Source organism: Homo sapiens, chromosome 15 (genome assembly GCF_000001405.40).
Source record: "Homo sapiens chromosome 15, GRCh38.p14 Primary Assembly".
NCBI classification, from domain to species: Eukaryota; Metazoa; Chordata; class Mammalia; order Primates; family Hominidae; genus Homo; species Homo sapiens.
Window position 1 is genome coordinate 96,080,037 of NC_000015.10, and position 12,916 is coordinate 96,092,952.

The 12,916-nt window shown below is 37.0% G+C and overlaps 2 long non-coding RNA genes across 2 annotated transcripts in view, besides 1 other annotated feature; one reads left to right on the plus strand and one right to left on the minus strand.

Annotated features, from left to right (window-relative positions):
- The window catches only part of LOC112268156 (uncharacterized), a 236,909-nt gene that overhangs the window by 89,602 nt on the left and 134,391 nt on the right, over positions 1 to 12,916 (plus strand). The window lies entirely within an intron of this gene.
- LOC105369212 (uncharacterized) overlaps positions 2,016 to 12,916 on the minus strand; it is a 45,790-nt gene continuing 34,889 nt past the window's right edge. The window contains exons 7-8 of the long non-coding RNA NR_158193.1: positions 4,492 to 4,611; positions 2,016 to 3,416 (exon numbers count right to left, since the gene is read on the minus strand). This is a non-coding gene — a long non-coding RNA (uncharacterized LOC105369212). The remainder of the gene's footprint in view (positions 3,417 to 4,491; positions 4,612 to 12,916) is intronic.
- Positions 6,957 to 7,478: an enhancer, noted in NCBI's record as "OCT4-NANOG hESC enhancer chr15:96630222-96630743 (GRCh37/hg19 assembly coordinates)". NCBI's record gives its function as "activates a minimal SCP1, AML or CMV promoter by ChIP-STARR-seq in naive and primed H9 embryonic stem cells {active_cell/tissue: H9 hESC(naive and primed)}" and the evidence as "EXISTENCE:reporter gene assay evidence [ECO:0000049][PMID:30033119]".

Below are 12,916 nucleotides of genomic sequence, written 5' to 3' on the forward strand. Positions count from 1 at the left end.
CAAGAATGTGACTGGTGGCCTCATACAAGTGGTTCTTCTAGGAGGCACATGGGACATTCTCTACTGTTTGTGCCCAGGTATGCAAACCCTGTCCCATGGGACTAAGAAAGAAATCTGAAGGGCTGGATGCAAGTGAGATTCATTGCTGGGTAGGAGGACGGCATGATCAAGTAAAGAAACATAGGCCATTTCATCTACATCATGAGTTGAATGGAATATTCTCTATCATAGAAAAAAGATGAGGTTCATCAAGTGAGCCTTGTTTTAGCAGATACTTAATGATTAAATTTCTAATTATGTCTGTCACATGCGAGTCTTTCAACTTTATAAAGGAGTGAACATACTACTGTGTTGGCAACATATTTTTTTGTTTCTGCCAAGTAAAAATGAGGAACGGCTTAACAATAAACCTTAAATTGGCACTGGTCACATGTGACTCTTCTAGAAAACAAAGTGAAGATTGGGATTTTTTTAAAGTCATACAAGTATATGTGTGTGTGTGTGTGTGTGTGTGTGTGTGTTTTCTGGATCTTTTCTGAACAATAGATCTTAGAAAAAAAGCAATGACTACCAGTTGGTAATTTAGTTTTCAAAGGGCACCACTTATGTGGTTTGGTGATAGCATGTGTTTTAATGTTTCTAAAAGCATATATATTTATTGAGTACAGTATCCAGCTTACTTAACTAACATTTGTCACCTTTTAATTAAATGTTATGATCAAGATGGCATTAACATTACTGAAAACAGGTGTTAATCAATGGATTAATCATATGTGTACATAGTTTATACAAAGGAATCATATATATTTGAATTTTCTACGACATAACAGTTAAATTTTTACTTCCAGAAAAATAGTAGGAGTTATCCACAGATTCTTCTCCATGATAGAAAAATTGACCATAGCTATATTAGTAGAACAGAGAAGGTACAGCATAGGAGAGAATGCTCATTAACTGTGTGACATCATCTGATGTAACCAGCAAATTAAATTTTTATCAAAGTAGATCCCTAAGAAGTTCTACAAGACCATAGGTCTAAAGTGTGGGGTATGGTACCATACTCCTTTCCACTACTCTTCTCAAATGGAATGAAGAGGGTGAAAAATGAAACTGGAATTAATCATTATTAAGAAATTTGGCCTCACTGAGAAGTATTTCATACAACTGCACTCGAAGCAATGAAGACAGACCTGGACTTTGGAATTGGGATATATTTTAGGTTGTCTAAGAAACAGTTTCCATTCACTTCAATTAATCTATGAACATAATGAAAGCCTTGAAACATCTATTCAGGAATAAACATCGTAGAAAATATAGAAAACACGGGTATTTTCTTTCACTTATCTGGTTTTACTCTATTCATAGAAAACAAATAGCATTTTAATAAGTGTTTTTCCAGAAATTTTTCTACTTAAAAAAAACTACATATATATTATCTATAATACAAGCATGGAATAAGAGTGGATTTTAAACTAGTTTTTAATGAGATTTTTAACTTCTTTTAAAAATGTAATAGTAAACATTAAACATCTTTTCATATCAATAAAGATTATTTTACTCTTTTTAGTGGTTTGTTTGCATTTTTCCTGAACAGGGATACCCATATTATTCAATAGCTTCTTGGAGGGACTGGTATTCAGGTTGTTCCTAGTTTTGCCACGATAAACAACATCATGAAGGAAATTCTCTAATCTTGATAGATGATCTCCTTAGGATATGTTCTAGGACTACTTTCAGATCCAAGGATATGAATTTGCAATACCATCCATATAGCATGACGTCCCTTTGGTCCCCCACACACTCGGGGCAAAGGCCTGGAAAAGAACCTGAAGAACACAAAGGTGGATCACAGACGAAGAAAAGTAATTATGCCTCCTTAAAAGCCACATGAAAAGGGCCTACTAACTGTGTTCTCCTCAGTGTGAAAGCCAAATACAGTGTGTGTGCGTGTGTTTGTATGTACACGCATGTATTAGCTATCTATTACTGAATAAGAAATTACCACAAATTTAGCATTTTAAAAAACACACATTTATTTTCTCACAGTGGAGGAATTAGGACACAACTTAGCTGAGTCCTTTGCTTCAGGGTCTGTCACAAGCTGCAATCAAAAAGTTGGCTAGGACCTCATCTGAAGACTCACTTGGGGAAGAAGTCACTTCCAAGCTCACTTACATGCGTGTTAGTTGACAGAATTCAGTTTCCTTGGGTTGTGGGACTGAGGGACTCCTTCCTACCTGGCTATTGGACTTTGTTCCTACAGGCCTCTCAGTTCTTCGCCACGCGAGCCCCTCCAACATGGTATATTGCGTCATGAAAGCCAGCAAAGAAGAGAGTTGGCTTGCAAGATGGAAGTTACAATTTTACATACTCACAGAATTGACATCCCATTGCTTTTGCTGTACTCTTATTGGTTAGAAGTAAGCCACAGGCTCACACTCAAGGGAAGGAGATTACCCTAGACTGTGAATACCAGGAGGCAGGGATCACTGGGGTCCATCTTACTGACTGCCTGCCACCGTGAGGCTGTGGTTGGAGGTGTATAATAACCTGAGATATGCTGGTGAGGTGTGCATATGTCAGAAACATGTTTCTAGACATGATAGAAGATTTTTTTTTAGCTGTGCAAAGTTGTGGAATAAACAGTTTTATTTGTTTTAATAGTCTCCAGTATTTAATCATTTAATTTTCTGAGGTATGAAGATTGATCTGATTTTGATATTTCTATAATTATCAGAAAACATTTAAATGTGTTGTATGTTAAAGAAAGAATTGTCTTACTTCCCTTACTTCCCCTTGTGGCTTTTATTATTTAATATTTAATTAAATTTAAAACATCTTAATTGATAGCCTGTGTGTACATACTTTAACCAACCACATTATTTTATTATATTATTTCAGAAAATGAAAAATATCTATTATGATAAAATATGGCTCTTATTGCATTTCAGCTTTAATTCTGCCTCATAATACACATGTGAGCAATACTAATAATGAGATATCAATGTTCTATTTGTTCTACTATTGAATGCTTATTGTACTTACTGGAAAAATATCTCTTATAATACTCTTTTAAAAACACATTTCAAGTGCATGTATACAAACATAATCAATCACAAGAAAGGACTGATGACACATGACATTAAGTGATAACTTTTCTGATGACTGTGAAGGTCTTATTTTTCTAATATCTGTACAATAGCTTTCCTATTTCACCAATGATTTTGGGTTCCTGCTGCTGAAAGTCCATCCGTACAAGGCCGTAATCAGTGGTTGAATGGCAGATGGAGCCCAGGGCATCCACCTTTCCCCAGATTGGTCTTTAATTGGCATATGCAGTAGCTTGAATTACTGGTTCCACTGAAGGAATTGTGTTCTCTCCTCTGACCAGTAAGAGTGTCTTCCTTTTTCTTTTCCTTATTTTTAAAGAGGATAAGAAAAATGGTGATAAATTAATGACTTTTTAAAGGGCAATCCACAAACTGAAACATTTGTGAATAAAATGGAACTTAATGATAGAGCACCGGCTTCCCAGCTTCGTTCTCATTAAAGAGGGAAGTATTTATGTACCTAGTAAAGGTTTAAAAATAACTAAGCAGCCAGAAGTACCGACTGAGAGTTGGGGAATAATGAATCTGCAAATCATTATTGATTAAGCTGTGAATTCAAGATTGCTTCTTAACCTAAGAAAATTTCTTGACCCATACTTTTTTCTTTTATTTTGTCAAATGAATTCAATTCAATTAGTAGTTATTGAACACTTATTCAATGCATGATACTCTAGGAAGGTGAAAAATATTCAGATTCAATCTTTGACCTGTTTGTTAGGGAATACAGCTTCCCGAAGCAATGTCAAGGTACTCTCCCAACCCCACCTACCCTCTCTCCTCAAGGCAGAAGTCTAAGTCATTCGCTTACAGGACATTTTGTCCTATGGCAGGTGCACAAGCCCCATGTTTAGGACTTTAGCCCAATTCCTCAGCCCACTCAGGGGAGTGGCTGTTAAGGAGTAACTATAATTTCCAGACCTGACTGCAGAGTCCCTCAGAACAGTGGTGGAAGCCAGAATTCCCCATTCATAAAGCAGCTAATACAGCTAAGAGTCCAAGTCCCGCCCGGCGCTGTGGCTCACGCCTGTAATCCCAGCACTTTGGGAGGCCGAGGCGGGCGGATCACGAGGTCAGGAGATCGAGACCATCCTGGCTGACACGGTGAAACCCCGTCTCTACTAAAAATACAAAAAATTAGCCGGGCGTGGTGGCGGGTGCCTGTAGTCCCAGCTACTCCAGAGGTTGAGGCAGGAGAATGGCGTGAACCTGGAAGGCGGAGCTTGCAGTGAGCCGAGATAGCGCCACTGCACTCCAGCCTGGGTGACGGAACGAGACTCTGTCTCAAAAAAAAAAAAAAACAGTCCAAGCCCACCAGCAACCCCTTAGACTTCCAGGATGTCAGGAGCTTGGAGAACCAAGTGGAAGAAGACCTCCATCTTACCTCCAAGTTTCATGGAGAAGAAGCCCAGAGCAGGAGCCCTGAGATTTGAATTCCAGCTTTGCCACTGAACGCACCAGCTCGAAGTCCACGGGCACATTTGAAATCTGTTTTTTTTTTCCTCTATTAAAATAAAACCAGGAATAATATTTTACATGAAAGTTGAAAGGATAAAATGAGGTGACAAACAATAAAAAGCAAATTGTATGCAAATCCTGTTTTGTTTTATGATAAATGCTGCTCAATGAATGTACGATAAATAAATGAAATTCATGTCAGAGGGAAGTGTTGTCCCTGAGTTAGCAATAGTCCTCTGTTAAATGACTTAAAATAGGAATCCCAGAGTAAAAAGGTAAAGAGGCTAGATTCTGCCTAAACCTTGAGGACGGAGGAAGGAGATCAAATATGAGCCACTTGACTGTAACACTCACAGCTCTCAGGATCCAAAATTCGAGAAAATGGCTATTTGCCTTGACTGTCCAATGACTTGCTCTCCCCAGTAGTATAAGGATAGAGGGAGAGTATAGGGAGATGACGAGTTGGCATTAATTAATGAATTAATTTTCAAAATATTTTCAGTAAAATTCAGCTGCAGGTATATGGGCTAAGAGAAATGCTTTGATTCCAAGATCAAAATCTTTAGTGACACTTGTATGCCTTGAATTAACCTTACACATATTACTTTCCTTTAAAATAGAAAGCACGGGCTGGGTGCAATGGCTCACACCTGTAATCCCAGGCCAAGACGGGTGGATCACCTGAGGTCAGGAGTTTGAGACCAGCCTGACCAATATGGTGAAATCCCGTCTCTGATAAAAATACAAAAATTAGCCGAGCATGGTGGCTCACACCTGTAATCCCAGCTAGTTGGGAGGCTGAGAAAGGAGAATCACTTGAACCCAGGAGGCAGAGGTTGCAGTGAGCCGAGATGGCGCCACGCACTCCAGCCTGGGGGACACAGCGAGATTCTGTCTCAAAAAAATAAAAAAAAAAAAAAAGAAAAGGAAAGAAAAAAAGGAAGCATATATTTACAAGAAAGAGAATCTGATTTTTCATGCACATTTGCTATATGCCTGACATTTTGCAGTATGTATATTTTAATTGTTGTTTTGGCAAAAGCAAGAATTAATTGAGGTCTTACATGAGCCAAGCACTGGGTTATTTATGGACCATATTATTTTATATTCTCAGCAACTCTGTGAGTTGATACCATTCTCACTTGACAGATGACAACAAACTGTGACTTAGGAAGACAAGGGGACTTGCCTAAAGTCACATAATGAGGACACAAAGGGTCTGTGAAAACTTCAGACCTCTGTTCTTTATTATGGGTGTATTGAGATAACGGGCTTTGACAGGCGCTCTAAGAATCTTCATACTAGCTTGGAGTTCAAGTGTAGTTATTCCCACATAACACATAAAAGGAAACAAATCTTACCCCCAAAATCTTTCCCCTTCCATGACGTTTCTCATGAAAATAAAACATTCATAAAATTCTGTTTAAAATTCTGCCTTTACTACATCACCAGCTTCGTGATGGCTTACCAGCTGTGAGCTATATATCCATATATGAAGTCTTCACCCATGTCCCAAAGACTTCTATTTATATATTATAGATACACTTCTCTCTTTCAAATTCTTTGTCTTACTAGGGTTTTCAGATGACTCTTTGAGCCCACCAAATCCAAATCACAGCAGTCTTTGCCTCTTCCTCTTTTAAATAGTCCCACTCGTTCCAGTGATCTACTGTCACCCCAACACATGCCCAGCTGAATTCCCCAAAAGGGGCTTGTCCACCTCCAGCTCCTTCAGGGCGGCAACCTCAGCTCCCAGGTCTTCAGAGGCCAGCTGCATGGAACATCACAGGCACACAGCAGAGCTCATGGGAGGCAATGACGACATACTTTTATGCATGCAGTTGATTTCCCTTGAAAAACACTTCTTAAAAAAATCTTTCCCTGTCTTGATCCAATTTGGTCAGAATAAAGTTCCTTAAAAACAAACATGTCTTTCAAAACTGTGTTTATACTTTGAATAAAAAGGAAATTTTTTAAAGAAACATTTCCTTTAGCGTGGAACGGCCCAACTTTTCCATCTGATTTACCTAAGAGATGAACTTATAGTTAAGATGTTTACAGACATCCTTTTAATTTAAAAAATTACTTATAAAATATTTTGAAAACAACAACATTTAGACCTTTTCAAATAGTAAATTGTATTTACTTAAATACAATACTTAAAAAGTACTAAAATATAGTAAATACTAGATTTTAAAATCAAGTTTTTTTTAATATTCATTTGTTTACAAACACTAAATACTTTGTCTTGTTATTTATAGAAGATGATTAAGAATCTTTGAGAAATAAATATCTGACCAAAAATATAAAATATATCTTAAAGGATAAATTTTCACCAAATTACAATGTTAGGGTGCAGCTTTAGTAAAAGTTTATGGTGACTTTTATGTTCATTGAATATTACAGGGGGAGGGGTCATTGAACACAATTTAATCAAAAATCCGCTTTTCTATGAAATCAAAAGTGATTATGAACTGTGTAACTGTTGGGTTATAGAATGATTCCTATCATGACAGTGCAATCATTTCTTAAAACATAAAAAAGATAGTTGCCAAGAAAAACTCTCCAATGAGGAATTTAGTTAATGTGGTAGATTTCTCCCCCCTTCCTTCCATCTGAATATTTAACATAAGAGAAAAGTCCTACTCTGTTTTTCAGCTGAAATCACAGCAGTTTCTGTTTCTAACCTGGGAAGAATGTGGTTGGGACTGAAAAGCCCCCTGTCCTATTGTTAGACTCCTCGGCACTGATCCTTGCTTTTAACATCATAATGAAGGATGCTCTTTAGTGGATTATCTTGAGAAGGGATTAACTCCTTCAAGTCTTCTTAGGGGGCAAGGTGTTTTGAGCCCTAAATACACACCAATTGCCTGCTTAACTTTTCATCTTATTTTGAAAACTGCCCAGCTGGAATTCAAATTCTTTTCCATAGAGCTGAATTTTATTAGTAGCAAAGTTGGAGTTGGGGGCAGCAGATGCTAAATATAAGCACTGTTCTTTTAATCTCATGGGGCCAAATGTTTCAGATATTTCACTGAGACAGGCATGTCAGGATAAGACTCAATCTAAACTCTGCTGTAAACTTTGCAAGCACTAAATCCTGGCCCCATCTCCCAGGCCCATGACTTAAGCCCTCTAGAAGACCATGCTTTTACTAGGATTCTACCTTTAAACTCCTCTTGCCTATATGGCCCTTGTACCACGGCTTTTAAAGTTATTATGCACATTGTTTTAAGTCACACTCAAAGTAGAATTCAAATGCCTGGTAAACACACAGACACACACACACACTTGAAAAGAGGACTAATTGCTCTATAATTTACAATCAACTAGTTTCCTTAGCCTCTGCTGCTTTGTCTTAATAACCATTTATTTCTGTCTGCCTATTACGTTAATACTGAAATCTTGCATTTGTTTCATATTCACCTTCCCCCTTCTCTAACCTCATTTCTGTTATTAACTACCCATTGTATTATGATATGATTTTTCCAGGAAACTAGACAGTTCTAAATTTGTCCTTTCTCCTCCTTTTCTGTTAACTCAAACTTCTTAATAGATTACAACTTTTCTTTTGTTCAACCAAAAGAATATTTTCAACACTGAAAACACTCATTTTAAAGGTGTTTGTTAAATGTAGGAAAACGCTTTTAAACACACACATGCCAAAAAAAAAAACAACCACTTTTTCTTGGAACTTTGTCTTTTAGGCTGATTTATTTTTTAATCAAATTGCAACATGCATCACCTGTAGCTTTCTTATAAAAAGATATAAATTAATTAGGAATTGCTAGGCTACATATGTAAGAAGTTTTAAATATTAAAAAGTCAAAATATATGTATACGTGACAAAAATTACAACAAAAAGATCTCAATAAAATGAAGTTTCACGATTTTTTACAAACAAGGGTATCTAGGTGCAGTTTTCTTGTGAAGAAAATGAAATGAACTCTCAGTCTTTATATATAAATCTATATATATATATAATAACTGTATTCTAGAGGCTCTGCTTTAATTGCAAATAATCCTCCACATTCTTTCAGTGTAAACTCTTTAAGGAGTCATGAATTTTATTTATACTCTCTCTCTCTTTGAGAGTCTTTTGTTTATTTGCTGTTTCGTTCTTTGTGAAATAACACTCCCAGAGGAAAATCCCCCTCTCTGCTTAAGGAATTAGGCCAGAGACAAAAGCAGGGAATTCTTTAAGCCTTGTTTTGTGCTAAGAGAAATGTTTGACATTTCTGTGGAGAGGTGTTTAGTTTGGATTCATTAGGTCTTAGGGACTCTTTTCTCTTTTCTGGCCTTTCAGTTTCTGTCACTGTTTTTTTCTGTGTTTGGTAGACAGAAGAGAATTTACCAGGGTGTAATTAGGTTTCCTACACTGGAATAGGAAAAATCTAGTTGTTGTAAATGGTTAGACCAAGTATTCCCCTGGCTCAGCAGGCCAAAACCTGAACCTCACTTTCTGATACCCATCTGGGTAGGAGAACGTTCGGCAGCGGAAGCGAGGGGTAAAAGACACTTTCAAGGAAGTTTATGCCCCGATTGAAATAAATACCTCTCGTAAGCATCTTTAAACAAAGCTGCTTGACCATCACTTCCACAGTCCTACCCCGGAAGGCCAACACCTTTGGTTTTTCTGTGCTTCCTCTCAGAACATTAAATAAAATTAGCTTTAACATGCTTTTTTTTTTAACACAAAAAGAAATTTTTTAACTTTTTTATTTTTTATTTTATTTTCTTTTAATCTTACAACACCTTGGCCAGCCCCTCCTTCTTCCCAAGATCATTTAAAGGCTGTCTGTTGCCTGGTTTGGGAATGGTACAGTCTGATAGGATTTCCCAGCCAGCGCATTTGCCTTCTGCAAAACAACACAGATACTTGCTGGATTATTAGTTTCGCTGCCTGAATTAGTAGAAGCTCAAACATTTGGTAATTCCCCAAATCCTGAGGCCAGAAATAGAGCTTGGTGGTATTTTTTTTTCTGTTTCTTTTTGGATATGACATTATAGACTAAACCATGATGATCTATCTGCACTCTGCCTTTACTACTGCTGTTATCAAAGCATGGAAATGGTAGCGGGGCGTCCGTCCTAAAGGGTCCACTTAAGAACAATTCAGAGATTGGCAAGCACTAGCCATACCGTCTGTATAGACTCCTTTCCAACTACATCCCCGTTGATGTTCCAAAGCTTGGCAGTCTCAGCCCAATGGCCTCTGACTTTGAGCTTAGAAAACGTGCCCTCTGGCAACTGCTGGGCCACATGTTCTCCATTCACACCACACCTGGAGAGTGATGAAGTTAACAGGCGGAGAAAAAGAGCCATGGGCAAGACCTTGCCAGTGTGTTGGGATGCCAGCTTCCTTTGACTGGTTAACAATAACCCTTTGGCAGATCTGGCTGGGAAACGGTTAATCCCCCTACCCACCCCCCTCAAAAAAATACAGAAACGTTGAAGAAAGACCCAATGCCTCTGATTAAATGGGGGAGAGGCCAGTTACTAACATCTTTAAATAATGGATTGTATCATTGTGAAATGTGCCTTCCCAACCCTATTTCCCTCCCCATAAAAATAATGATTTGTCTTTCTGGGAATTGTGGAGAAACTGTCACCTTGTCAATCCAGCTCCATCAACAAAGATGTGTGTGAAATGCCAACCTCTTTCAGCCTACTATCTCCAGAAAAATTTTCACCACATACTCCAGTGGATCTTTTTCATTAGATATTTAACTCTGCCATGTTAAACTTAATTCTAAACGAGTATTATTTAAAAGAGTCAAAAACTAAGACTACTGTTTTTCCTCTTCTTTTTAAAACCCTGGATTGTGAATTTTAGTTCAAATCCTATGAGAGTCTAGAGATCATATCAAAAACCTTTTTGCAGTTCCACATAATTTAGTGGTCTTTGACAATAAATATAAAAGTAAGGGAAAGTAATGGTTGAAATCATTTATTCATAAAAATAGTACGGAAAAGTAATGGTTGAAATCATTTATTCATTAAAAATGGTAAAAAATAAATCCATCAGACTTTATTCACAGAAGAGTAAGTAAGAAGGAATAATAAGATAAGCATTTGTGAAAAGGTGTGGACATCAAGAAATGTAAGTATTTAGGGCATCAGAAGAAAGAGTTAATAATTCAAGTATGAGCCCTTGATCAAATTTTCAAGTGACTCTTTTCCTAAACTAAGAAAGAACATTATGGTCTTTGGGAAGGAAAGGGGGTCAGAAGGAAAAGGAGAAACAGCTGAAATATAACACAGTCAGGCATACGCACTGCAGTCAACCAAAGGTCTTCCCTTGAATTGAGAACTGAAAAACTTATCATGCAGAGAGTCTGCAATGACAGAAAATGTCCCCAGTCCCTGATATGAGGCTGGCATATTACTGATTAGTCCCCTTGAGTAAAACCTATCATTTTCAACAATGAGCCCATGTTTTAGAGAAGCTTTTCCATCTTCATCATCTGTGGTGATCCTAAAGTAGTAGGAGAAACAAGAAAGGGAATTCTGGAAGGACTTTCAACCACCTCTATTTGAGAGAGCAGGGAAGAAGGAAGCAAATGCCATCGTCCTTAAAGGAATGCTATTTGGGGGAATAACAAAAATGAATAAACTTTTGAGAGGAAAATTCAATATGCTGTTTCATTATATAGAAAAAGTTTGGGTTGACTAGATGAATTTAAATAATCATATTTTCCCTTTTTTTTGAGACAGGGTCTTGCTCTGTTGCCCAGGCTGAGGTGCGGTGGTGTGATCTCGACTCACTGCAACCTCTGCCTCTGGGGCTCAAGCAATCCTCCCACCTCAGCCTCCCGAGTAGCTGGGACTCAGGCACACCCCACCACACTCGGCTAATATTTGTGTATTTTGCGGAGATGGAGTTTCACCATGTTTCCCCAGCTGGTCTCCAACTCCTGGGCTCAAGTGATCCACCCGCCTTGGCCTCCCAAAGTGCTGGGATTACTGGTGTGAGCCACTGCATCTGGCCAATAATCATATTTTTTCTTTCTCTTCTGTTAAAAAGCTCAAAGACAATAATAAAAAGAAGCTCTTGAGTACCCAAAGAAAAAAAAGTTTGCTATGCCGTGGCATATTAATAACTCAGTGGCAAGTAAATTGAGCTGTTATAACTGGAATGTTATTAAACAGAATATTTAATATTCATAAGTATAAAATAAAATATATTGTTACATATAAAAGATATTGTTTTATACATAAGGATATAACAATGATGGAATTTGCTCTGCAAGTATACATCTAGTCATACTATATAAACTCAGTGATTCTAAGTCCCACCAGACTTTTTTCTCTAAATCTACCAAATATTATGCGTTCTAATGTGCAAAGAAAGTTATAAAGAACAGCTTCCAACTTAACCGCAGAGCCTTTGACCTCGGTACCTCAATATGAAGATTCAGGGTCTTCATTAATTGTAATTATTTAGAACCAAATGTGTTTCTATATTTTAAGTCTTTGTGTAAATACACTTCTTATATTCTAAACAGAAAAAGTTACTATCCCACATACCATTCCTGTTATTTCTTCATTACTTCACAGATTAGAACTTTAAATAAACATGATGCTTAAAATTCTTAGTAAAGACAAATTGACTTCTTGAGTTATTAGAAAAAGTGACATATTTTGTGATTAAATGTGTGTTTGTAGTTCTGAGACACTGCAAAAAATTAACGTTTCTTTTTGATAGTAGCTTTTATTTTTCTTACAGTGACCAAACCATGTTCCATCCTCCCTCACTTACTTGCAGATAAGGCAGAATGACTTGAGGCATTAAAGATGTGATTATATCCTATATATTGAGTTGGTTCCCAACTCTTCTTGTCTCTGTGTGAGGTCTAAGATACTCAGGTCCATGGTATAAGAAAATGTGATTGATTTCCAAAGAAAATGGTTGGACCAAAAAGAGATGCATTTTTGAGATGCTATTTTGTTGAGCCATTTTTAGAAATAGGCAAACATTCAGAAAATTACTATAAGCACATTATGGTTTTTTGCAGAATAAATTTGATCTAAACCTTTTGACATTTTGTGCTGTAATGTTTAACATTATTGAGTGAAAGCTAATGGAAACTTTCTAACAAGTCCAAGTATTGCCATTTCTCACAATAAGAGCACATTCTCTGTCAAAATTTTTAAAGATTTTTAAATTTTTTCTACTAGATTTGGATTAAATACTAAAAGCAAACATTTTGCTTACAGGCACTCATGGTAATTTTTGGCATCATGTCAACCAAACAAACCCCAATATAAGACAATTTTTCATATTCGATGTGGACTTTAAGAGTTCCTTTGCAGATGTTATTTCAAATGTGATTATCTCACCTCCTTTT